The 25295-nt window shown below is 43.5% G+C and overlaps 2 pseudogenes; one reads left to right on the top strand and one right to left on the bottom strand.

Moving 5' to 3' along the window:
- Positions 1 to 402: 402 nt before the first annotated feature.
- Positions 403 to 20143, bottom strand: ZACNP1 (zinc activated ion channel pseudogene 1; annotated as a pseudogene).
- Positions 8484 to 9206, top strand: RPSAP34 (ribosomal protein SA pseudogene 34; annotated as a pseudogene).
- Positions 20144 to 25295: the final 5152 nt, after the last annotated feature.

The raw sequence follows: 25295 nt of genomic DNA, 5'->3' as shown, positions 1-25295 counted from the left end.
TCCCAGCATTAGTGCCTCCTGGCCCAGGGCCAAACAGCAATGGTTGCAGAAGGAGAAGTGAGGCTGCATGCCTATGGACTGGGAGACTGGTGGACAGTGGAGAGAAATTCAGGAGAAAAGTGGGGATGAAAAGTAAGGGCCTACCTACTTAGGATCAGAATGAATAGCTGAGTTCAATGAAGACAGACCCTTGAGGTGTACTCGCACTTGGGGATGGGTTTATTTCAAGCTCTTTGCTTATATGCTAACAGAGGGAGAGCTCAGGGTGGTTTAGGGTCTTCCGGAGATAGAGACGAGATCTGACTTTCCTCCTCAGCTCTCCAGAGACCCTGTCTTGGCTCTACCCCCAGCCATGGGAAACCGAAACTGCATCCTCAAGTCTGCAACCCAGGCCCAATGCAGTTACAGCCTTGGCTGCTTGTCATGGGGTACAGCCTCTCTAGGGGCTGAGTTGGACTTGCATGCTGCTCACATCCAAATTCCCATGAAGATGAATTGGCTGCACAGCACCCAGGCCACATACATGAGAAAGAAGTCACGGTCAACAGTCTCAGCCCAGCTTCTCTTTGACCACTTTATTCTTCTGGGTGCTTCCATGAGGCAAAGATGCAGAGAAAGGAGTCATTCTTCAGGCTCCCCCCACCAACCAACATGAGCAGAAGGATGAACCCCAGGGGTCATCAGACTCTATCCCTTCTGGAAAGTCTCAGTTAATGAACGTTTGGGTCTGGTCCATTGCGGGCCATCTTCGATGGAAAAAAACACCATCTTAGAGAGGCTCCACAAGGCAACATGTTATCTTGGAGAGCTGAGGTCACCTGGGCCTTTAGGGAGGCCAAGCTTGCCCCTGATGCAGATCTGCCTCTAACAAGAAAGGATATGGTGGAGTCCAGGGACAGGAGAGCCAGCAGGGTTGGTGCAAGGAGCCATACCCACCTAGCAACCTCACCCAGCCCTAGGCAGGCAACCTGCCAGTTTTTCTCTGTTCCAACCTGGACTTAGGCCTCATTCCTTACCCCTCACCCCCAGGAAGGTGCCTCAACCTCCATCCACTTTCAGGATTAGACCCTGGATCCTCATAATCTTGCTTTTCCTCTCTCAGGACTAGTCTGGGGCTGCTCATAGCCCCAAAGTTGCCCCAGGCCAGCAGCCCAGCCAGCAGCACAATCTCTGTGGCACTGAGGAAGAGCAGCAGCAGCAGGACGCTGATGTAGTAAACTGGAGGTGGGAGGGCAGGTGGGATGGTTAGGGGCCAGGTCCTGTGCCTCTGATGTCCAGGGAGCTGAGCTGAAACACCCTGGTATGGGTGACAGCAGGTGGGAGAAACCAGGAAGGCCAGGTAAGGAAGTAGAACTTACTGAGGAGCGGGTTGCAGGAGATGCTGGGCAGGGCCTGCACCAGGGAGGAGCGTAAGAGAGGTAGCCCAGCAGCAGTGTCATCTTGGAAACAATGCGCTTGATGGCCTGGAGGGGCAGCAGCCCCCCTACACATGACGGCCAATATAAGTGCCCCTCAGGCGCCAATAGAGCTATGATGGACTTTAGCGCTGTGTTATTCAGGCTCAACTGGAAGGGGAAAAACTGGGGTTTTCCAGCGGGAGATGGGGAGTGGGCAGCAGGGGTGTGGGTTCATGCCTCTGGCCCTGCATCCCCCACCTTCCTGCCTCCATTAGCCCTCCTGTCATCCTCTTCCTGACTTGACTCACTGGCACCTGGAAGCAGGGCACCAGCTGAACTACATACTCCCTCTTGACACTCACGATCTCATTCACCACGTGGGCCTGGAACTCCAGCTCCATCGCTGAAAAGGGTGGGGGTGAGAACGATGAATAGGAAAGGGAGATCCCTGCCCCCAAATCTCCTGGGAGTAGGGCCAAAAGCAATCTGGAGCCCAGGGGTGATGGAGACTTCTGATGGCTTCTGGGGGACAGACTTGAGGACAAAACTGGTCTACAAGAGGGCTTCCCAAACCTTATTTGCAAAACTTCAAATTGTCTGAAGGTCTTTATCAGATTCATAGACGAATTTTGATTGTAAAAATCAATGAACTTCCCACCAAAAAAGAAAAAGAACATCATTTGGCTGAAAATAAGTGGACTTATTTCTGGGGTCTGTATTTTGTTCCATTGCCAGTAACGTATTGCTTTGGTTACTACAGCTTTGTAGTTTGATAGTGTGATTCCTTCAGCTTTGTTTTTATTTTTGTTATTGCTGTTTTTGCTCAGGATTGCTTTGGTTATTCAGTCTTTTCTTGTTCCATATGAATTTTAGGAATATTTTTTCTACTTCTGTGAAAAATGTCATTGGTATTTTGATAGAGGATTGCATTGAATTTGTAGATTGCTTTGGTGGTATGGTCATTTTCATAATATTAATTCTTCTAATCTATGAACATGGGATATCTTTCCTTTTTTGTGTGTGTCTTCAACTTTTTTCAGCATTGTTTTATAGTTTTCTCTGTAGAGATCTTTCACCTCTTTGGTTAAACATATTCCTGGGTATTTTATTTATTTATTTATTTTTATCGCTATTGTAAGTGAGGTTGTTGTCTTGGTTTCTTTTTCAGATAGTTTATTGTTGGTGTATAGAAACCCTGTTGATTTTTTTCCTTGATTTTTTATCTTGCAACTTTGCTGAATTTGTTTATCAGTCCTAAGAGATTTTTTTTGGTGGAACTTAGGGTTTTCTACATATGAGATCATGTCATCTGCAAACAGGGATAATTTAACTTCTTTTTTTCCAATTTGGATGCCTTTTGTTTCTTTCTTTGGCCTAATTGTTCTGGCTAGGGCTTCCAGTACCCTGTTGAATACAAATGATGAAAGTGGGCTTCCTTGTCTTGTTCCAGGTTGCAGAGGAAAAGCTTTCAACATTTTCCCCTTTCAGTATGATGCTGACTATAAGTTTGTCATATATAGACTTTATTGCATTGGAATACATTCCTTCTATACCTAACTTGTTGATAATTTTTATCATGAAAAATCATTGAGTTTTATCAAATGCTTTTCTGCATTTATTGAGACACACACAGTTTTTGTTCTTCATTCTGTTAATGTGATGTATCATGTTTATTGATTTGCATATGTTGAATCATTCTTGAATCTCTGGGATAAATACCACTTGATTATGGTGAATAATCTTTTAATAATGCTGCTAGATTTGGTTTGCTTGGATTTTGTTGAGGATTTTTGCACTTATGTTCAACAGGGATATTGGCCTGTAGTTTTTTGTTGTTGTTTTGTCTTTGTCTGGTTTTGGTATCAGGGTAATGCTGGTCTTGTAGAATAAGTTTGGAAGAACTCCCTCCTCTTTAATTTTCTGGAATAGTTTTAGAAGAATTGGTATTATTTCTTCTTTAAAAGTTGGATAGAATTTCACAGTAAAGCCATCAGGTCCTGGGCTTCTCTTCGATGGGAGACTTTATTATAGATTCATCTTGTTGCTTATAATTTATCTGCTCATGTTTTCTATTTCTTCTTGGTTTAATCTTTTCAGATAATATGTATAGAGAAATTTATCCATTTTAATCATTTCTGCTAGATTTTCTAATTTACTATCATACAGCTGCTCTTATAATCTCTAGTGATCCTTTGTATTTCTGTGGTATCAGTTGTAATATCTCCTTTTTCATTTCTATTTTATTTATTGGGTCTTTTCTCTTGTTTCTTGGTTAGCCTAGCTAATAGTGTGTGGATTTGTTTACATTAAAAAAAAACTTTTGTTGATTTTTTGCATTTTTTTAGTCTCAATTTTATTTATTTCTGCTCTGATCTTTATTATTTCTTCTACTAATTTTGGGTTTGGTTTGTTCTTGCTTTTCCAGTTCCTCAAAATGCATCATTAAGTTGTTTATTTGAAATCTTTCTACTCTTTTGATGTAAGAGTTGATTTCTATAAACTTACCTCTTAATGCTGCTTTTGCTGTACCCCATTTGTTTTGGTGTTGTGTGTGTATTTTCATTTGTTTCAATAAATTTTAAATGTTTCTTCTTAATTTCCTCATTGCCCCATTGGTCTTTCAGGAGCATGCTGTTTAATTTCCATGTGTTTGTACAGTTTCCAAATTTCCTTTTGTTGTTGATTTCTAGTTTTATTCCATTGTGGTCAGAAAAGATACTTGATATGATTTCAATTCTTTTACATTTGTTGAGACTTATTTTGTGGCCTAATATGTGTTCTATCCTGGAGAATGTTCCATGTGCTGGTGAAAAGAATGTACATTCTGCAACTATTGAATGAAATGTTCTATAAATGTCTGTTAGGTCCGTTTGGTTTAAAATGCATTTTAAATCCAATGTTTCTTTGCTGATTTTCTGTCTGTCTGGATAATCTGTCCAATGCTGAGAGTGGGGTATTGACGTCCTCAACTGTTACTGTATTGGAGTCTATCTCTTCCTTTAAATCTAATAACATTTGCCTTACATATCTGGATACCTCTATATTTGGTACCTATGTATTTACAATTCTTATATTCGCTTTCTGAATTGATCCCTTTGTCATTATAAAATGAGCTTCTTTTTCTCTTTTTCCTTTCCCAGAGGAAGATGTGCTGCTTCAGCTCAGGCCTGGGGGACATGACTTTTCCAGGAAGCCCAGACATCATTTCCCTGGAATGCAGCGTGCCACTTCAACTTAGGTATTGGGGTGCATGACCATTCTGGGTGGTCAAGGAACTGTTTCCAAGGGACGCAGGGCACTGCTTCAGCTTAGGTACCAGAGAGATATGGCTTCTCTGAGTAGCTAAGGTACTATTTTCTTCAGCTTCTGCCCAGGACAGCACAGGGACGGGTAAGCAAATCACTTCCACCTCTGCTTGGCTCCACAGGGAAGGGTGTAATAGCTATTTGCAGCTCAACTTGTGGATGTCAGGCCACCGGGCTGGGGTGGTTCAGTGATGGCTTAGCCTCAGGGATGAAGGGGAGCTGTGGCTACTTGCCCCTGAAGCAAGACACATTTCAGCCATAGTTCCAGTTCAAAGATAGTGTAGCACAGTAGCTGTGTGGGTCACAGGGGAGAGGGCACAGTGTCAGCTCCTTCCCTGTGGAAAGCACAGCTATGTGGACTCCAGGCAGCTCCCTCAGCTGGGCTTGGTGCCTGTGAGAACTGCAGAGGACTGCAGTGGTGAGGTTTATAGGTGTCCAGGGCGCTGATGGGGATTGCTAGGATCCTTTTGCTTACCTCCTCACCATAGGGAGAAGTTCCTCCTGGTTCCCAGCTGATCCCAGTTGGGGGATGAAGTGGTAGAAGCCAGGCATTTTCTTACATTCTCTATGTGGTCCTCCTTAGTTTCTGTGCTCAACAGGTTTCTGTCACTCCCATGATGCACTCCAGAGGTCCCTCTCAGTTATTTTCGTTAAAACATAATTGTTTATTCATTGTTCTGGCTGTCTTTGAAGAGCACGGGGGAGTTGTACTCAACCATCTTGCTGATGTCACTCCAGCATATATGTTTTCAACTTGGGAGTTCACTTTTTCTTTGTCAGTATATAGAAGTACAATTTAATTTTTTTATAGTGATCTTGTATTCTGCAACCTTTACTAAACTTACTAGTTTTAGGAACTGTTTTGTAAATTCTTTGAGATTTTCTACACAGACACGAGTAAATAGAGACAATCTTATTTTTCTATTTTCTTTCTTTCTTTCTTTCTTTCTTTCTTTCTTTCTTTCTTTCTTTCTTTCTTTCCTTTCCTTTCCTTTCTTTCTTTTTGTATTGATTGCACTGGCTAGAACGTACAGCATAATATTGAATAGGACTGGGGATAGAGAACAGCCTTGCCTTATTTCTGATCTTAGAGGTCCTCCTCTGTGCTCTTGTCATCTCAGGCTATTGTTATGGGCCCAGAGGCTGCTCCCCACCGTTTTTTTTAACTATTCCCTTCCCATAGTTTTATTGTGTTTTCACCAGTGCCCCAAGCACAGCAGTGTTTATAGCCCATCCTTCCGCAGAATCAGGCTTCTGTTCCATAAGTAGTAAGGGAGAGAAAAGCATCTGAGTGGAGTTAATTGCCCCTCCAACAGCAGTTGCTTCTCATCCTCCATGCTGCACCCAAAGGACAACTTGTTAAACTTAACTTTCTTCATTCTTTTTCTGGGAGTACCTGGTGACATTTGTGGAGAAAAACCTGAAAAAGGCAATTTCAATGCCCCAAGGAGCTTCCCATTCTTACACCAGCTCCCCATTGGCCTCTACCACATCCCCAACCACCCCATTGAACTCCTTTTACTTGTGTTCAGTCGAATCCACCTGTGTATGCCAGTATATGCATTTCTCTTCCTGGGGCACCTGTTTCTCCTTAGACTAGGAGCCAGCTGGTTGCCCTGCAACCTTAGTTCCTTGATGGGTTCAAGGAAATGCATAAATTTGCAGTTTGTCTGGTTTGGTAAGAATAAGAGCAAAATTCTTTCCAGCTGTTTATTTATTTATTTTTTTTTTATTTTTTTTTTTGTTTGTTTTTTTTTTTTATTTTTTATTTTTTTTATTGATCATTCTTGGGTGTTTCTCGCAGAGGGGGATTTGGCAGGGTCATAGGACAATAGTGGAGGGAAGGTCAGTAGATAAACAAGTGAACAAAGGTCTCTGGTTTTCCTAGGCAGAGGACCCTGCGGCCTTCCGCAGTGTTTGTGTCCCTGGGTACTTAAGATTAGGGAGTGGTGATGACTCTTAACGAGCATGCTGCCTTCAAGCATCTGTTTAACAAAGCACATCTTGCACCGCCCTTAATCCATTTAACCCTGAGTGGACACAGCACATGTTTCAGAGAGCACAGGGTTGGGGATAAGGTCACAGATCAACAGGATCCCAAGGCAGAAGAATTTTTCTTAGTACAGAACAAAATGAAAAGTCTCCCATGTCTACTTCTATCCACACAGACCCGGCAACCATCCGATTTCTCAATTTTTTCCCCACTCTTCCCGCCTTTCTATTCCACAAAACCGCCATTGTCATCATGGCCCATCCCCAATGAGCCGCTGGGCACACCTCCCAGACGGGGTCGTGGCCGGGCAGAGGGGCTCCTCATTTCCCAGTAGGGGCGGCCGGGCAGAAGCGCCCCTCACCTCCCGGACGGGGCGGCCGGCCGGGCGGGGGGCTGACCCCCCCACCTCCCTCCCGGACGGGGCGGCTGGCCAGGCAGAGGGGTCCTCACTTCCCAGTAGGGGCGGCCGGGCAGAGGCGTCCCTCACCTCCCGGACGGGGCGGCCGGCCGGGCGGGGGGCTGACCCCCCCACCTCCCTCCCGGACGGGGCGGCTGGCCAGGCAGAGGGGTCCTCACTTCCCAGTAGGGGCGGCCGGGCAGAGGCGCCCCTCACCTCCCGGACGGGGCGGCTGGCCGGGCGGGGGGCTGACCCCCCCCCACCTCCCTCCCGGTCGGGGTGGCTGCCGGGCGGAGACGCTCCTCACTTCCCAGACGGGGTGGCTGCCGGACGGAGGGGCTCCTCACTTCTCAGACGGGGCGGTTGCCAGGCAGAGGGTTTCCTCACTTCTCAGACGGGGCGGCCGGGCAGAGACTCTCCTCACCTCCCAGACAGGGTTGCGGCCCAGCAGAGGCGCTCCTCACATCCCAGACAGGGCGGCGGGGCAGAGGTGCTCCCCACATCTCAGACGATGGGCGGCCGGGCAGAGACGCTCCTCACTTCCTAGATGGGATGGCGGCGGGGAAGAGGCGCTCCTCGCTTCCTAGATGGGATGGCGGCCGGGCAGAGACGCTCCTCACTTTCCAGACTGGGCAGCCAGGCAGAGAGGCTCCTCATATCCCAGACGATGGGGGGCCAGGCAGAGACGCTCCTCACTTCCCAGACGGGGTGGCGGCTGGGCAGAGGCTGCAATCTCGGCACTTTGGGGGGCCAAGGCAGGCAGCTGGGAGGTGGAGGTTGTAGCGAGCCAAGATCACGCCACTGCACTCCAGCCTGGGCACCATTGAGCACTGAGTGAACAAGACTCCGTCTGCAATCCCGGCACCTCGGGAGGCCGAGGCTGGCGGATCACTCGCGGTTAGGAGCTGGAGACCAGCCCGGCCAACACAGCAAAACCCCGTCTCCACCAAAAAAAAAAAACGAAAACCAGTCAGGCGTGACGGCGCGCGCCTGCAATCGCAGGCACTCGGCAGGCTGAGGCAGGAGAATCAGGCAGGGAGGTTGCAGTGAGCCGAGATGGCAGCAGTACCGTCCAGCTTTGGCTCGGCATCAGAGGGAGACCGTGGAAGGAGACCGTGGGAAGGGGGAGAGGGGAGAGGGGAGAGGGGAGAGGGGAGAGGGGAGAGGGAGAGAGGGAGAGGCCAGGCTAATTTTTTTTTAAAGATGGAGTCTCATGCTGTTGTCCAGGCTGGAGTCCCAGCTGTTTAGATCCTTCAACAGAAACAAAAAATAACTTTTTTGAATAACAATTAAGACACTCTGTATTACTCACAGAGAGGTCCATATAGATTTGTCTTTGGTTACTGGCTTAACTTAAAGGGAAATTTTTCAGTATCTAATACTTCTGATTCCTACAGATGAAAGAAAAGAATATCCTTAAATTCCTTTCTTCAGGAGCCTACTTGGGTGGCATCAATATTTGCTTTCAGATGGATAAGTATATCCACAAAAAGAAAAGTGGTGATATCTATACATTAAACCTAAAATGGATCTGGAGAAGGTTCTTTATGAATCTCAGGCCATTGTAACAATTGAAAACCCAGCAGCCATTATTCTCCAGGTATACTAACCAGCCTGCTGTACTGGAGCTTGCTCCTGCCCTAGGATCCATCTGTTTTGTTGGACACTTTATTCCCAGAACATTTAGGCAGCTTTCTAGGATCCTCCTCCTTTAGTGAACTGAATATTAATATCTTCCAAAGGCATCTGCTACTAACCTGCTCACTACTGCGCTACGTAACAGAGATTCCTCAACTCTGTTTTGCATAGGATATTGACATCTTGTGCAAAAATGAGGGTACTCACTAAAAGGGTCTGACATCTGACATAATGGTTGCTGGCCTATGAGGTCCTGCTTGGGTGTGGCACTATTTCCCCTGAGCACCTGTGGGAAGTCATACCTGATCTCTGCTTCTACAGTGATACTAGAGAGATTGAAAAGGAAGAACAGATTGCTGCTGAAAAGGCAGAACAAAGAGAAGTTTTGGAGAGAATGCATTACTTATGTTGGCAGATTTACTGCAACTCAATCTGAGCTCACAGATTCATCTGAAAGAGTCTGCATCTATTCAGTATTGATGAAGAATGAAGTGCTCAGACTTTTGCTGAAGACAGATCTATAGCTGCCAACTGACCCTGGAGTACAGAACTAGGGTGAATAGAAAAGAAGTCTCAGTTTGAGATATTATAACAATAATAGCAATAGTAATACTGACAATATTTATGAAATAAACTTAAAATTTAGAGTAAATTCTCCTCCATGAGAATAATAAAATGAAAAGAACAAAGTATGTCTAATGTTTATTGAGCATTTACTCTGTTGAAATTGAGCATTGAGCATTGAGCCAAATGTTTTCACATACATTTTATCAGTTAGTTTTTACAAAAAGTCTAATAATATATAAATATATATAATAGATACATACATATATATATATATATATATAAAATAGATACTTTCCCCAGTTTATAGATGATGAAACTGAGATTCAGACAGGTTAGCTGACATGGTTTAGAAGTGTGTCCCCTCCAAATCTCATGTTGAAATGTGATCCAAATGTTGGAGCTGGGGCCTGGTAGGAGGTATTCTGGTCGTGGAGGTGGATCCTTCATGAATATCTATCTTGGTGCCATCCTCACAGTAATGAGTGAGTTCTTGCTCTATGAATTCACAGAAGATCTGGTTGTTTAAAAGGGTCTGAAACCTCCCCCTTCTCTCTGGCTCTGTCTCAGCATGTGATATGGTTTTCCTGTGTCTCCAACCCAAATCTCATTTTGAATTCCCACATGTTGTGGGAGGGACCTGGTGAGAGGTAATTATTCAATTACCATGGTGGCAGGTCTTTCCCATGCTGTTCTTGTGATACTGAGTAAGTCTCATGAGATCTAATGGTTTTAAAAAGGGGAGTTTCCCTGCAAAAACTCTCTTCTCTTGTCTGCAACCATGTGAGATGTTCCTTTCACCTTCTGCCATGATTATGAGGCCTCCCCAGCCACATGGAACAGTGAGTCAAATAAACCTCTTTCTTTTGTAAATTGCCCAGTCTTGGGTATGTCTTTATCAGCAGTGTGAAAATGGACTAATACAACATGTGATGTGTTGACTCCCCTTTTCCTTCCACCATGAGTGTAAGCTTCCTGAGGCCCTCACCAGAAGCCGAGCAGATGTTGGTGCCATGCTTATACAGCCTGCAGAACCATAAGCCAAAATAAACCTCTTTTCTTTATAAGTTACCCAGTCTCAAGTATTCCTTTATAGTAACAGCAATGGACTGACACAGAAAATTGCTATGAAGGAGTGGGGCATTGCTATAAAGTGAACTAAAAATGTGGAAGTGGCTTTGGAACTGGGTAAAGAGCAGAGGCTGGAAGAGTTGGGAGATCTCAGAAGAAGACAGAAAGACAAAGGAAAGTTTGGAACTTCTTAGAGTAGTTGTGACCACAGAATGCTGGTAACAATATGGACAGTAACGTCTAGTCCTATGAGGTCTCAGATGGAAAAGAAGAATTTATTGGGAAGTGAAGTAAAGGTTTGTTATGCCCTAGCAAATAATTTGGCTACATTGTGTCCATGTCTTAGGGCTTTGTGGAAGGTTGAACTTAAGAGTGATGACTTAGGAAATTTAGTGGAAGAAAATTCTAAGCACTGAAGCATTCAAGAAGCAGTGTGGCTGCTTCTAACACCCTGCAATCAGACACAGGAGCAAAGGAATGATTTAAATTGGAACTTTTAATTAAAAGGGAAGCACAGTGTAAAAAATTGGAAAATTTGCAGCCTGGCCCTTTGGTAGAGAGAAAAGAGTATTTTCAGGAGCAGAACTGAAGCAGGCTGTAAAGTATCCATTTGCTAGAGAGATTTGCATGACTAAAAGGGAGCCAGGTACTAATAGCCAAGGCAATGTGAAAAAGCCTTGAAGGCATTTCAGAAGTCTTCAGGACAGCTCCTCCTATCACAGACCCAGAGACCTAGGATGGAAGAATGGTTTCAAGGGCCAGGCTCAAGGCACTGCTACCATGCTCAGCCTCAGGACACTGCTCCCTGCATCCAGTTGCTCCAACTCCAGCTGTGGCTTAAAGGGCCCCAGATATAGCTCACGCTGCCACTTCCGAAAGTGCAAGCCTCCATATGCCTTGGTGGTTGCTATGTAGTGTTAAGCCTGCAGGTGCACAGAATGCAAGAGTGAAGGAGGCTTGGCAGTGTCTGCCTAAATTTCAGAAGATGCATGGAAAAGCCTAGGTGCTTAGGCAAAACCCTGCTGGGGGGATGAAGCCCCCACAGAGACACTCTACCAGGGCAGTGCTAAGGGGAAATGTGGAGTTGGAGCCCCCAAACAGAGTCCCCACTGGGGCAGCCCCTAGTAGAGCTGTAGAAATGGGGCCACTAGCTACAGATCCTAGAATGGCACAGCCACCAGCAGCTTGTAACCTCAGCATGGAAAAGCCATGGGGGCAGAGCTGCCCAAGGCCTTGGGAACCTGTCCAGGACACTAATGTGCCCAGGATGTGGGACATGGACCCAAAGATTGTTTTGAAACTTTAAGATGTAATAACTGCCCTCTTGGGTATCAGACTTGTATGGGGCCCATTGCCTCTTTCTTTTGGCTAGTTTCTCCCTTATGGAATGGGAATATTTACCTAATGCCTGTACCACCATTGTATCTTGGAAGTAAACAACTTGTTTTGATTTTACAGGCTCATAGTTGGAAAGAACATGCCTTGAATCTTAAATGAGACTTTGGACTTTTGAGTTGATGCTGGAACAAGTTAAGATTTGGGGGGGACTATTGGGAGGGGATAATTGTATTTTGCAATGTGAGAAGAACATGCTATTTGGGGCCCAGGGTCAGAATTACATGGTTTGGATGTTTGTCCCCTCTAAGTCTCACGTTAAAATATGATTTCCCCAGTGTTGGAGGTGGGGCTTAGTAGAAGGTGTTTGAGTCATGAGGGTGGACCCCTCATGAATGTTTCGGTGCCATCCTTGTGGTAATGGCTGCGTTCTTACTCTGTAACGTCACAGGAAATCTGGTTGTTTAAAAGAGTCTGGGACCTCCCCCTTCTCTCTCTTGCTCTCTCTCTTTCTCTCACCATGTGATGCCCTGGCTCCCCCTTCACCTTCTGCCATTATTGTAAGCTTCTTGAGGCTCTCACCAGAAGTAAAGCAAATGTTGGTGCCATGCTTGTTTGTACAGTCTGCAGAAATATGAGCCAAAATAAACCTCTTTTCTTGATAAATTACTCAATCCCAGGTATTCCTTTATAGTAACACAAATGGACTAATATATTAACTAACTTGCCCAAAGTTGCAGAACTAGGAAATGTTTTGTACCTCTATAAAATCATGACAAGGAAGGCTTTTGGAATCCTAGCATTTTCAAGGTAAAATAAAATAATTTTAAAGACCATCTCCTTCAATTTCCTTGTTTGGAGAATGAGGGAACTAAACCTCAGGACCTAATATCACTCAGTCACTTAGTTCTTTATTGCAGAGCCAGAACCAGAATTCAGGTTTATTTACTTTTATTCCATTGCGCCTTCTATAATTCTACAGATATTTCTTGATGAGACTGAACAGACAGACCTCAGCAAAGGGTAAGGTCTGCTTTCTGAGTATTCCTGTTTGTCATGGATTTACCAGTACTCTAAAGGTAGGTCTACAGCAAACATCAGATTAAAACTGTGTTAAAACCAGTCTTGTTCTTGATTTGGACCTCAAAAAGACACTCTCCAGCAGCCAATTTCAATCTGGTCATGCAGACTAGTCCTGCCTTCCATGTAGCCCCATTGCCTGAGATCTTTCTGCCTACCACTGCCTCTATCCCCTTCAGCTCCTCTGAGCAGGAGGTTCAAGGCAAAAAGGAGGGTGGGAGGAAAAGGTGAAGTATGTAAATAAGAAAGAAAATATTCCACCAAGGGAGAATGTGTGCAACTATCCCAAAGACAACTATCCCAAAGGAAGTTAAAAATAGGTTTTGGGCAAGCATAACAATGTAAAAGTTAATTTGAGGCTTCTTTTGAGGCCTACTGAAAGGATTGCACTTATTTGGATGTTTATAGCCTGGCATGTTACTTTAAAAATGATCCTTATTACTTTATACTCACACATAATACCATATTCAATCCTTTATAATGTCAAATAAAAGGGAAATAATAACACCTTATGTTTGTATATTGTTTTACAGCTTACTGAGCACTTTTACAACCACGATCTCACTTGATCTTCACAATAAGGTTGTGAAGTAGCTAAGGAAGGTTATTATTAATCCCATTTTACAATTGAGGAAACTGAGGCTCAGAGAGATTAAATAAGTTGCTCAAGATCACTCAGCTAGATAATAGGAGCTAAAAGTAGAATCTGGCATTTGAGACAGAGTAGTGCTCTGCGAGGGACTGTTGAAACACCAAGTATGGCCAAAGAGACAAAATTTTCATTTTATGGATTCAGGATTCAAACCAAGGTCTCAACAGGTTCAGGACTGAAACAGATTTTGAAGGCATGTTGACATGGAGCAGCAACATGTAGAGGGATCAGAAGGTGAAAATTCTCTGCAAATAGGAAACTGGCTATACAGTTTCAAGACAGGTAATTTTTATAACATCATTGCTAAAAAGGGGAAGGAGTACGTGCTAATAAAATGGAAGTCCAAGAAAGCCTTAGAAAGGTCACAGATAACCAAATAACGTGAAGTCTACTTTTGCCTACTCAGAAAAAAAAATAAAAAAAATAGAAATGAGGAAAAATTAGTTCCTCATTCCTGGGACTCTGTCTACCAAAAATTACCAAGTATTTCTAATCTCCCCACAAGACATACACAAATAATTTCAGAACTAAATGTGTGTCTGTGTGTGTGTGTGTGTGTGCATATACAGTTATAGGCTAAGTTAATGGTGAATATTTACATAATTTGAGGATATAAGAAGTTTTCTAAGCATGACACCAATGCAAAAATTATAAAGAATATATAGATACAATTATACAAAATTTAAACATTTTTTTCTTAAATCAAAATAAAATGCTATAAAATTTCAAAAGAAAATGCTATAAAAGTTAAAAGAAAAAATTGTACAAATATTCGGAAAACATGTCTCATGAGAGGTTAATGTCTTCATTTTTAACATCTCTAATGAACTAATGATGATGATTATGATGACAATAAAATCAACTTTCCATTTTAAAAAACAGGTTTGGTGAATTAACACGGGAACAGAAAACCAAATGCTGCATGTTCTCAATTATAAATGGGAGCTAAGCATTGGGTACAAATGGACGTAAAGATGGGAAAAATAGAAACTAGTGACTGCAAGAAGTGGGAGAGAGGGAGAGGGACAAGGGCTGAAAAACTACCCATTGGGTACTATGCTCACTACCTGTGACAGATCATTTGCATCCCAAACCTCAGCATCATGCAATATACCCATGTAACAAACCTGTATATGTACCCCCTGCATTGAAAGTAAAAGTTGAAATTATAAAAAATAAAATAAAAATGAAAATAAAAAACATAGGCTTGGAATACGAACAAGAAATTCCAGTTTTAAGAAATACATAGCCAGTATGCATATGGCAATCTGTACCACCCTTATTTATAATTGTATCAACCCACACTAAAATTTATTTTATTAATGTGGCAAAATTTTATAATAAATGTATTTAAAAGGTTATAAAACCTTATGTTCAGTATTATTCATTTTTTAAAAAAAACACATACATCTAAGTTCTGAAAGAACAGTGTCACTGAAACATAAACAGTGGTTATCTCTAGGCAGAAGGATTATGAATACTTTTTTCTTATTTAGTTTTAAAAATCATGAACATGAATTACTTTTGTAATAAAGAAACCAATTGGCCATTATACCTGTAACCAGGGCCTAACTTCCTATTACACAACGGTTTCTATTTAGAAATCACATTTGACTTACAGTATTTGGATTTTCAAACTCCATGTCAAGAACACAATCTGCCATAAACGGGAAAGCTTTGTGCGCTCCATTTGAATACATAATTTGAGTTGGCTTGTTCCCTACCTGGTGTTCCTGCCCTTCAGGGTAATTCGCATAGTTACCTCCTGGCTTCCTAGATGTAATTACTCTACTAGGAAAAGAAGTATCTAGATTATTATATAAACAAACAGCATAATCATAAATGGTTTCTTCTGGAATTTGGGTTGTTGCCGATTTTTCTTTCATAGCAAAATTAGATTTAAGTAAATTTTGCCTATGCTACATTAGAAGCTTAACACTTTCAAATAAATCAACCACAGGGGCCAGATATAAACTCTAACTTAACCGATTTCTTCCCCCAGTACAGACCCTTCTTTCTTTAATAATCTCGCCCTAGCATCCCCACATATTCAGCCCCACTAACAAACACAATCTGCCACACACACTGTTTTTTAACCAGATGAGGACAAAGAATGAGAAAACATTCCCACAGTCAGCCATAGGACAACACCAGAATGCAAATAAAAGGTAGTTTGACAAAATTTCACTTTTTGCCTCTAAACATTCCAAAAAGTTAGATTATACTCATTGGAGAAGAGGGATGATCTAATACTTTAAGATACTGAAATCCTGAGAATGTTTTTGTTTCTGTGGCCTTTTATGGAAGGAAACTTTGCAGAGGCACTTCATCTTTGTGAAAGTCAAGGTGGCAGATGGGTTTTATATGCCCAACCTGTTATGGCTCTCCTACCACAAAAGTAAGGACAAAAATTATCCATAAGAAGGCATCATTAGCATCTATGCTGTGTACCGTGAGCACATGGTTGAAGTGGAAATGGTTGGCTCTGCTCCTGCTGAACCATATACATGATAGACTATTTTGTATCTTGGAGCCACTGATCACTGCCACTTGTCACCCCCCGAATCTCCTGACTACCATTGCCCCATAAATAGGAAGAAGCCTTTCTTTTATTTTAATTTTAATTTTTTTAAATTTATTTTTATTTATTTATTTTTTATGAAATGGAGTCCCACTCTGTCTCCCAGGCTGGAGTGCAGTGGGGCGATCTTGGCTCACTGCAAGCTCCCAGGTTCACGCCATTCTCCTGCCTCAGCCTCCCGAGTAGCTGGGACTACAGGCGCCCACCACCACACCCGGCTAATTTTTTGTTGTATTTTTAGTAGAGATGGGGTTTCACCGTGTTAGCCAGGATGGTCTCGATCTCCTGACCTCGTGATCTGCCCTCCTAGGCCTCCAAAAGTGCTGGGATTACAGGAAGAAGGCTTTCTTAGGTGAAAATGGCTTCTGTTGTTCTCCACCTCTCGATATTCCGTGAGACCATGTGTGTGTGCACTGACTCACGCATGTGTGGCTGTGAAGGTCTCATTTGGAACCCAAAATGAAATGTTTGCTTGAATCTGGCAGAATCTGGCCGGTAACGATGGAAGATATTTCATCATCATAATGATGATGTCACATCACACTTTTCATCTTCAAAGTACTTTACAAACAGTAATTAATTCCTATAACACTCATGAGGTAAGTAAGTAAACACCATTATCCCCATTTTATAGATAGAGAAACTGAGGTGAAGAAGCCAAGCAAAAGGTCCAAGACCGAAAGGAGACAGTCCAAGAGCAGGGATCAGAGGGAAGAAGCTCCTGGTATCTGCTAATCCCCTCCGGCTTGCACCATCCCAAACCTGCGTCAGGGGAAAGTGGCCACAGAGCTGAAGATACCCAGAGGCTGAGGGAGGGCAGGATCTCCCAACAGGCCTGGCTCTGGCCTCACTGCCCTGGGAAATGAATGCTGCTATTCATATTGTGTGGGCAGTTTGTGGGCATTCACTTCAGGATTGCTTGCAAAATCACAACAACAAAAAAGCCCATTGAGGCCCCTTTCTCCTTGGACCACGTATTTCCTGAGTTTTTCCTTGAAATCAGGGGATGCATAGTACATATACGCCCTCAGGAAGCAGGAGCATTCAGCCCACCCTACAATTCTTGGGAGGCTACATTCAGCAATGTGACCACAGACCCGGCTGTGCGGCAGGAACCTTCTCCTACGGGTTCCTGGCCCAGCTCCTTCACAAGACATTTAATAGCCATCTGGCTGGCTCCACACTGGAACACTTATCTAGTTGCCTTCTCACTGTGGGCCTCCCAACTCCCCGTGTCTAAGACGGACACATCTCAAGTAGCCGGCAATTAGATTGAAACCTTATATTACTGCTGGCGGAGGCGGCCTAGGAGAAAACGTGAATTGAAATGAAATGAACATGGCTTATCAAGGAACCTAGTCTCAGGGGAGTCGCTGACCAAACTGCTACCCCACTACAGACCTGAATGTTACCCAGACCACCCTGCTAGACAGCAATCGTAAGAGGCCCCAAGAATTTATCAAACACTCCTTTTGATTTCCTCCCACCTGCCAAAAAAATGCTCCTACCTGTTCACTATCCTGCATCTCTCTTTCCACACCTCACATTTCCCTCAACAGCCCACAGGTTGCCCTGACCACCCACTTCACATTTGGGGCAAATCTGGAAGCTGCTGCATTAAGCATTATGTAGATCATGTTGGTGTCATGACTTGGCTCCTAATGAAAGCTAATAGGCTTTGAAGCTCTGAACCACACACAACAAATAGCTACACCATTCAGCTCCATTCTCCCACCTTGGCTGACATCGTGCCGCCTTTGGCAGCGTGTGGCCTGCAGAGCTACAGAGAAAGGGGAACTTTCCCTCTGCTGCCCCTCCTGACTTTCCCAGGAGATCAGACTCAGGGAAATTTGGAAGGTCTCAGAAACGTTTTGGCTAAAAAAACATAGTAACGGCACCCAGGAAAACACTGGATGGAAACTGTCAGCATCAGCCACAACCCAGGGGCGTCTCCCCGGGAGAGGCCCTTGTCTCGCACCTCCTGAGGCACCTTCCTGGCTGTGGCTTGGGATGACAGCCTCTCTGCCCCACCCACTTCATTCACATCTAACCTGCTGCGGAGACAGTTAGGTTTACTAGAGCACCAGTTTATATAGTTTATACATGGCCTTCCAGTGAAGATGAAATACCTCCAGGCACAGCCTTGCTGAATGAAGGAGCCCTCCAAATTGAATAAGGCACGTATCTTGAATACATAGACAATATTAATCAAATAAGACAACGCCACTGTCGGGATGGCCTTCTCCATTCCACATAATTGCAAAGACTAAACAATTCTGATAATCATCAAGGAAGACTGGACAACAGGGTTACAATCATCTCTGGATCCCCTGGTTCGTGGGCAGGCAAAATCCCCTCCTCTAACCAAAGAGCAAGCTAAGGCCACAAGAAGAATTCTTCTCTGTCCGCCTGAGTGAACTCCACTTCCCTTCCCACACCGAGGTCTCCAGCAGCCCCATAGCTGGGCGCGTTCCAGACTCAGGCATTACACACGTTTGTTCCCTCCATCGTGACACACTCCAGGTGAATGCTGGGGAGAAGGGTAGAGCAGAGAGGCATAACTTCTCACCACATAAAAGAGCCAGACTCCGGCTGCTGCCAGAGTGCTGGCCGCACAGTGACAAAGCGCGTCACACCTTCCAGATTTGGAAGTTCATAAATAGATCCACAATGTTGATACTTCAGGGGGATGGTGGGTGGGAGTTGGATTTCTGTCTCTCCAACTCTGTAATTAATTTATCCAGCAACGAGGCTATAATGATGCCAGGAAGAGAGAAAGAACCCCTCGGGGGGCTGTCTGTGGCTTTTCCTCACAATGACTGGGTACTCTTGGGTTGGAGCTGCAGCCTAGATGTGAATGAATTGAAAGCCGTGTGTGTGTATGGTCTATGTATGCTGTATGTGATGTGATGAAGGAGTGTGTATGGTATGAGTGTCCATCTGTGGTGTGTGACCGTGGGAAGGTGTATGTGTGTGTGTAATGCAAGAGTGTGAGGTGTGGTGTCTGTAGCGTGTGTCTGTGTGGGGTGTTGTGGTATGTGTGTCTATCTGTGATGTGTGAAATGGTGTGGTATGCAAATATGTGTCATACAAGAGCATGAGGTGTGGTATATGTGTACTATCACATTTGTGGAGCCTGTATGTTTACGTGTGGTGTGTATGTGGTACATAAATGTGAATGGGCTCTGTGCGTACTATGTGACAGTGTGAGGTAATATGTGGTATGTGGATGTGTGGTGTGTATGTGCTGTATATAGGTGCACTGAGCATGTATGTGTGTGGCATGTGAGATACAAGGTTGTAAAGTGATATGAATGCTCTGTAGTGTGTGTTACATGTAGCCATGTAAAACGCGGTGTATGTGGTGCATATATGTGTGTTGTATGTGCATATTCAATAAGTGGTGTGAGGTATTGTGTGTATGCTGTAGTGTGTTTGCTCTGTGTGATATTTGGTGTATGTGTGGTATATTTATGTGTGGGGGTGTACATGTATAATGTGAGGGTATGAGGCGTGTTGTGTGAGTTATATGTGGTGTGCATGAGTGTGTGGTGTGTATGTTATATGTGGCATGTTTGAGTGTGTGCTATATGGGATATGTATGAGTGTGGGGTGTGTGTGTGGTGTGTGTGTCACATATGGTGTGTATGAAGGCAAGTGTCATATGTGGCATATGTGAATATATGCACAGTGTGTGTGTTATATGTGGTGTGTGAATGTGTGTGGTGTGTTACATGTGGCATGCTTGAGTGTATGTTAAATGTGATATGTATGCATGTAGAGTGTGTGTGTAGTGTGTGTGCATGCTTGGCTGACAAGCACTTGTGCAGACAGGCCAGGCCCTTACGTCTTTGATCCCCATGCAGCTGGCTGTGTCCCCTCCCCCCACCCCTTTCTCTGAGAGCTAAATCCTAGTGCAGGAAGAAAGAAAGGCTGCCAAAGCACCACACCCTGAGCCCTCAGGGAAGGGTTTGAAGTTGAGGACACTTCACTGGGATTCTACTCAGGCCTGCCAGTCCCTCAGGCTGCACTGCTGAACACAGGTCTTACTTGCAGGAGCTCAGAGAGTGAGGGGAGCAGAAGATGATAATGGCAACTGCAGAGGAGCCCAGGGCCCCGCCTTTCCTCATTCTGGGTCCCCATGCTCAGTTCTGACACTTCCCAGTGACATGAACAAGTTAGTTGAGCCCTCAGGTCAACATCTATAAAATATACACAATAACTTCTTTCTCCTGGGATGAGAATTTCATAGAATGGTGTTGCACAGTGAGTTACTGTTTCTCACCTTTGTCTTTAATGGGGATGTGAGTTTGCTCAGGAATTGGGATTCTTTGGCTTTCTTTTGGCTTCAGAAGTTTTGGTACCTCGTACCCTAAAAACCCTCATCTCCAAAGCTCAGAACTTGTTGGCAAATAATATAGTTGGTAGCTTGCTCTTTGTCATTCTTATTTTGTTTCTAGTGCTTGTGGATAGTGCTATCAGGCCTGGAGAAAGTAACTCAGCTTCCTTGTCTCTGAAAGTGGGAAGGGAGAGAACATAAATTTATTGAGCTGCTAATTCAAGCCTCACACCGGGCCTGATGCTTTGCCATGGGGCAGTATTCAAGTAACAATAGGGGCAGGGACTTTCAAGTTTCTGCCCATCAATTGCTGTGTGACTTTGGACACATTGTTTAACCCCTCTGAGCCTCAATGTTTAAAATCTCTAAATTGGAAATAATAGTAGTCACCCATTCATAGACTTATTTAAGGATTAAGTGAGATAATGCATAATAAACTCTAGCACAGTGCTTAGCACTTAGTCAGTGGTAAAAATATGCTTTACAAGATAATTTCCCTGCTCCCCTGGGTAGGTTTTATATCCACACAAAAGGAGGCTAGACAGGTAAAGAAATTTGCCCAAAATCACACAGCTAATAAGTGATGGACCTGGCTGTCTACCCAAATTCATCTTGTTAGCCCATAGCTTGGCCATACTCTCTGCTCTATTTCTACCCTATCATACTGCCTGCCCTTGCAGCCTTTAGAGACCTCTCCAGGAGAGGCTGCTGAGTGCCAGAGGGGCTGTCATTCAATTGAGCTTTAGTCCTGAAGATATTTTAGCAAGAAGGGTATGAAGAAAGGAGAAAAAGCCATGGGCTGGCAAAATGAGATTACTTCCTTCTGTAGCAGCTGAAAAGTGCCCTGACCTGTACATGTAGACTGGTAGAATTCTACATGATATTTTTGAAATGAATTTGTTGCTGAGTAAAAGCAAACCTCACTGTGACTACTCCCACTTATAAGAGAACCTACTATGCTCTTCCAGGACATCATGCTTTTGCTCAGGCTGTTTCCTCTGATAGGAACACTTTTTTTTTTCACATGGGGTCTTGCTCTGTCACCCAAGCTGGAGTGAAGTGGTGCAGTCATGGCTCACTTCAGTCTTGACTTCCCAGGCTCAAGTGATCTTCCCACCTCAGCCTCCTGAGTAGCTGGGACCACAGGCTCACCCCACCATGCCTAGCTAATTAGGAACACTCTTTCTCTGCCCTACCAATTACCACCTCCACCACCCTGGGGCTTCTTCCAACTCTTCTTCCATTCCACTTTGAATATACTTCTCTTGTAATTGTTATCACATTGATCTAATTATTTGTTTATATGTCTGTTCCCTGCCCCTGGATTGTGCACCCCCAAGGATGGGGGCCCAGTTCCACTCACTGTTGTTTCCCTGACACCTGGCAGAACCCCTAAACAGAAAGCACTGCTAGAGCCATCATTTGTTTATATAACACACTCAGTGCCGTTTGGCACTGACATTACCCAGGTACTATGCTGCTGCTCCCGGTACAGAGCAGAATGAGGTGCAGGCTCTAGAACGTGGGGTGTGCGTCACCCGGAGTCTTGATAGAAAGTAGAAACCGCTTTAAGTGCTTACAGCAAAGGGAATTTAATGCAGAGAGTTGGTTCCATAGGTGTCAGAGGACCGAAGAAGCCAAATAGAAGAAAAGAGAGGTAAACCAGAAATTAGCCACAAATGGGAGCCACGACCACGCCTAGACTGGAGAGACAAAGAGAGGAGGTGGAAGTTTCTCCCAAGAGCTGAGGCAACCTGACAAAGGGTGGAACCACAGAAGGCCTGTCCTGTGGGGGCAGGAGCCATCAAGAATACACAGCCACAACCAAAGGCAGAGAGCTTAGGGAGAGAGAGGTTTCATCTTCCACCCTCAGCTGGAAGCAGGAGCCTGGAAATGCCTCCTGCAGGAGTCAGCCCCCTCCAGTATAGGAGAGCAGCTGGGAAGGATGGGGCATGGATCTAAGGGTTAACTCACCAAGGATCAGCCCATATAGATAATACTGCACTTTGTGGGTGGAGGGCTACTTTGAAGGGGATGCAAGACCGGGGTGATAATAGGCTGAAGAGGTAAAAGTCAAAGTCATGCAAGCTCACTGGTTTCAGGGCAGGTAGGTGGATTCATTATCTGTTGGTGCATAACAAATAACCACAAATTTAGCCAATTTAAACAATATACATTTACCTGCAGTTTCCATGGGTCAGGAGTCTGGATACTACCTAACTGGGTTCTTGTTCAGGATATCAAAAGGATGCAATCAAGGTTTTGGCCAAGCTGCATTTTTATCTAGAGACTTGACTGGGGAAAAATCCACCTCAAGACTCACTCAAGCTGTTGGTAGAACACATTTCCTTGTGTTCTGTGAGCTGTGTGACTCAGGGCACAGCTCTTGCTGGTTGTCAGCTGGAGGCTACCTTTAGGGCTTAGAGCTGCCTGCATTTCTTAGCCATGTAGGCTTCTCCAATATAGTCACTTACTTCATTAAGCCCACAAGGACAGTCTCTAGCTCCAGTCAGCTAAAAGGGAGTCTTCTATAACATAACTTAATCACACGCTTGACATCCCATCACCTTTGCCCTGTTCTATTGGTTAGGATCAAGTCCCAGGATCCACCTGCACTCAAGGGGAGGAGATTACACAAAGGCATAAACAGTAGAGGGCAGGGATCATGGGGGAAGGGGGGCCACCTAGGGTCTGTCCACAACAGTACATCTCACACATCTCACAATGTAGCTTTGTGCACCTCAGTTCTGATTTTCTTCTTCTGTAAATGTGAATTCTTTAAAGTACTCACTACAGAGTAAAACGATAGGAACAATCTTGTGAATGTTTTATCATCTGGCTCAGAAGATTACCATTAAAGTCCACAGACATTGCAATTAGTGAAAGTTCAGAGATGGTATAAAAATTTGCTAAAGCAAATCCCATGCCAAATGCAAACTTAAATTTTAATTTGGACTACACAAATATATCTTAAATGCTTTAATATTTTGCAAGATCTTTGACCAAGAAATTCCAGTTCTGGGAATTTATTTGAAGAAAATTATCATGGATGTATGCAAAAATTTAGCTATAAGGATGTTAACCACAGCAATGCTTACAATTGAACAAAAACTGAAAACAACATATTGCCTTACAATAGGATATTGGCTGCATAAAGCTATGATACATTAATGCAATAGAATATGATGCCCTCCTTGAATATGTCATAAAAGAATATTGAAGTACACGGAAAAGTGTTTGCCGTATAATGCTAAGGAGAGAAAATGACCTTAAAAGAGCATATACATCATGACCGCATTTTGTCTTTGCTCTGTTATTTTAGCATATATAGGCATGGATAAAAGACTGGAAGAATTTACACAAAATTTTAACAATGATGATATCTTCGGGTAGTGAGATCAGATGCGCCTTTTATTTTGCCTTATTATACCTTTTAGATTTTCTACCGTAAACATGTATTATTTCTATGACAAGGAACATGTTAATTTTAAATAAATTTTAGGAAGTTTTCATAATCAAATATTAGGAAGAACAGGCAACCTCAATAATTACTACTTTGCAGCTTAGCATTACAGAAAGAGATAAATTTGGGGCGTAGTTCTGTTTGCTAGCTCTGTTACCTCAGGCAAATCACTGAATTTCATGAACCTCAGTTTCCTTTTGTGTAAAAGGAAATACCATTCACTCTGTCTAGTTAATAGCAGTGTCTACTGTAACAAGGAAGACTGTGTGTACGAGAGGGTTTGCTAAATTGTAAAGCATGAGTAACAGAGTATTCAAATTGAAGAAGGTATATTGCACAGAGGTATCAGGAAGGACCTGGTGGTTGAAGTTGTCATTGAACATTATTCTGTGCAGGGATTCCTCCTCAGCAGTATATTTAATTACCATCCCACTTGGTGTTTGGGGTTGCTGTGTCTGAGTGTATATCTTTTTTACCATTAGCTGGCTGCAGGGTCTTTAGTGTAGCATTTACCTTTCCAACTTTAGTTTCTTACCAAAACCTTGCAAGATAAGCATCGTATTAGGTTTACAAGTTTTTTTTTTACCAGGCCTGTTTCTGCCAAGAAACTGATTCTCTACAGAGCTTTTTTCAGATCAAATGCTCTAAGACTTGTCAAATGCTCTATGTGTGTTTTCGTGGGTAAAGCATAGCCAAAGGCTGTCCACCAAAATGGTGAAAAATAGGAGTCAGGGTTTTCCACTTTCAGGAAATTTTTGGGTTGGTTACATTCCTAGCTGAGGAAAGAGTGAAGGATCTAGGTGACATATTATATCATTGACATCATCACAAATCTCTTAAAGCTTACTATGTTGGTAAGAGGGGTGGCATCAGAGAACATGAGGAAGGTGGGCTCTGGCATCAGCTGACCTGAGCTCAAACCTGACTTTGCCTTACCCTTTGCATAATCTTGGACAAGTTATTTCAATTTTCTGAGTCACCGTTTCTTCCTCTTTAGACCTCCCATGACACTTGCCTTACATGGTTCGGGAAATTAGGAACTAGTAAAGTGCCAGGACAGAGTTGATACTCAGTAACTGGTAACTTTGACTATTTGAGATTAGTTGGAATAAAGCAATCAGAGAATATTCTTGATTTAATCTAGTTCCTCATTTCTCCTGGGTAAAGAGGATGACATCACAGCCTAAGACATGTCATTGTCATGATTCAAAGTATCGTTTAATGATGCCCTATAATTTAATGATGCCCAAGTTTTCCAGGGTCAGCTTTTTAGTCATTGCCTACACTTGGGTATTCAGCTACCAAATTCCAAATCTGTGGGGAAGAAGCATATTAAAATAAAATACTTGTGGCTTTAAGGAATTTCAATAGGAGACAGTCTGTTTCTGTTCACTTAAAGATGTTTTCTTGAGCATCCCAACAATATTTGTACTTGAGCTTTCCTACAAATATTCAGAAGATGTGGAAACTCCAAACCTAT

This window comes from Homo sapiens, chromosome 4, assembly GCF_000001405.40.
Source record: "Homo sapiens chromosome 4, GRCh38.p14 Primary Assembly".
In the NCBI taxonomy this organism is placed as follows: domain Eukaryota; kingdom Metazoa; phylum Chordata; class Mammalia; order Primates; family Hominidae; genus Homo; species Homo sapiens.
Note: the sequence above shows the minus strand (reverse complement) of the source record. Positions and strands in the feature narration are given on the sequence as shown.